Here is a 2,877-nt window from a genome sequence, read left to right as displayed (position 1 = left end):
ATATTAACAGGCTCCTTCTAAAATGTATTTGGTAATGAAATGGACCAAGAGCTCAGATAACCCCAGATTATCTTGATAAAGATGAACAACGTTAATAGATTTAAATTATGTGATAATTAAGAATTTTTATATGGCTAAAGCAATACAGATAGGGTATGTTTGGGCTAAAGGTTGTGCAAATAGACCAATGAGACAGATTAGAGTCCAGAAATAGACCCACATGCATATAGTAATGTCACTTTTGGGAAAGGCAACCCTGCAATGAAACGATGGTCTTTTTAATAAATATGTTGGGTCAATTAACTATTCATATAGGAAATAAAATAAGCCTTAGATCTTAATTCACTTTATAAACAAAAATTAATTTCAGGTAAATTTTAGGCACACATTTAAAAATAATAGTAAACTTCTAAGAGAATATCTTAAATACCTTAGAAAAAGCAAAGATTTCTTAAACTGGACATAAAACCATTAACCATAGAGCACAAACAAGATGAATTATTCAGAGTTAAATTGTCCATAAGCTATATATATGAAATATAGTTTCTCAAGACTAGTCAAGCGTATATAAAATGTCATAAAATGAATTTTTTAAAAGTTAATGCTACTATATTTTAAAAAGTAACAAAAGCCTTGTAAAGGTAATTTACAAAAGATAATACCCAAAGGCATTGTGCATTCTCCCAATGCCTTTTTCATAAACACATGAAAGATTAACTCATCAGGAAAGTGTAAAGCCATTAAATGATATCACCATGCATCCAACAGAAATACTAACAACAACAACAGTATTGACAATTGTTGTTGAAGATGTGGAGAAACTAGCATTCTCATATGATGCTGGTGGGAATATAAACTGATACAACTTTGGAAAACTCTTTGGAAATGTATACTATATCTGAAAATGTGTATATTCTATTACACAACAATTCTATATCTAGTACATATTCAGGAGAAATGTGTACAGGTATATGTCACTTAATAACAGGGATATGTTCTGAGAAATGCATCATTAGGCGATTTTGTCATTGTGTGGACATCATAAGGTGTACTTACACAAACCTAGACGCATAGCTTACTACACAATTAGTCTATAAGGCATATGAATACTGTAGGCAATTGTAACACAATAATATTTGTGTATCTAAACATACTAAATATAGAAAAGGTATAGTCAAAATGGCATTATAATCTTTTGGGACCACTTTTGTATATGCTATCCATAATTGATCAAAATTTCCTTATGCAATGCGTGGCTGTATTTATATTTGTACGTGAAAATAGATATATAGAAATGTTTATATCAGTAATATTTGTAAAAGCCCCCAAACCAGGAAAAACAAACTACTATTACATTTAACAATTGAGAAGAATCTCACAAATAAGATGAGCAAAATAAGCCCATTGCAAAATAATATATACTGATGATTTCATTTATATAAATCTCAAAAGAAAGCAATAAATCCAGCAATGGAAGTCATAATACTGGTTATCTTTTAGGGATAATGATAAACATGAGGAAGTTATATGGGGTGCTGATAATGTTCCATTGTTTTGTCTGTGAGTGTGTGTGTTTTAAAAAGTATCCCTGGGCCAGGCCCGATGGCTGCAATCCCACCACTTTGGGAGGCTGAAGCGAGAGAATAACTTGAGGCCAGGAGTTGGAGACCAGTCAGGAAAATATGCTGAAACCCCATCTATACTAAAAATACAAAAATTAGCCAGGTGGTGGCATGCACCTGTAATCCCAGCTACTCGGGAGACTGAGGCAACAGAATCACTTGAGCCCTGGAGGTGAAGGCGGCAGTGAGCCTAGATCATGCACTGCACTCCAGCCTGGGTGACAGAGCAAGGCTCCATCTCAAAATAAAATAAAAATAGAATAAAATAAAATAAATTAAATAAATAAATAAAAATAAAAATAATATGCTAATATTCTCTATCCCTGTACTTTTCGTTATGCTAAGAAGTCACTTGGGCCCTTTTTTTCTCTTGTCTAGTCATTTTCTTTGCCATTTCTTGAAATTTCCTTCTGAAAAAAAAGAAAAAAAAGGAAAAACATAAAATGAGCTATTAGATGATGACACAATATCTCCAACTATGTTTTTTAGAATTATTTTAGGCAAGTGTGTTGCAAAATTTTAAAAATAAAAACCTGAAAGTAACAACATTATTGAAAACAATGCAATGATATACAGTTATTGCTGTCTTTGGTCATTTCACAGATGAAACACATCATTACATTATCCTTTCTCTTACCGGTATCATTGTTTTCCATCTTCCTACTCACCCTTTCCTCCATAAAATTTTCTTCAAATTTATTCAGGCTTTACTACTAACTAAATTCTTCCTATAAAATGATCTCTCCCACCTTTACATTAACTGAAACTTGGTAAATGCCTGCTTGCATTGTAGCGTTCTCACATTTTCTAACAATCATAGTTGTGACTAAAAGAATTGGTTTTCTAGTTCTTGATGATCCTTCCAGATTATAGTAACTTTCTATCACTATTTTACCAAATTCTCACAAACTTAGTGGCTTAAAATTACAGAAATTTATTATCTTAAAATTTTTAAGGTTAGAAGCCTCACTGAGCTAAAATCAAGGTGTGAGCATGACAGCATTCCTTCTGGAAATTTGAGCAGAAAACCTGTTTTCTTACCTTTTCCAGCTTCTGGAATTGCCAGTATTCCTTGGTGCATGGCTTCTGCCTTCATCTTCAAAGGGAGCAGTGTAGCAACTTCAAATCTGTTTTCTCTAACTCTGATATTTAACTCCCTCTTATAGAGACCCTTGTGATTACATTGGGCTCTCTTGAATAATTTAGAATAATCTTCCCATCGCAGGATTCTTAACCAAATTACATCTGCAAAGTC

The sequence above is a fragment of the Homo sapiens genome, chromosome 14 (genome assembly GCF_000001405.40).
Source record: "Homo sapiens chromosome 14, GRCh38.p14 Primary Assembly".
NCBI classification, from domain to species: domain Eukaryota; kingdom Metazoa; phylum Chordata; class Mammalia; order Primates; family Hominidae; genus Homo; species Homo sapiens.
Note: the sequence above shows the minus strand (reverse complement) of the source record.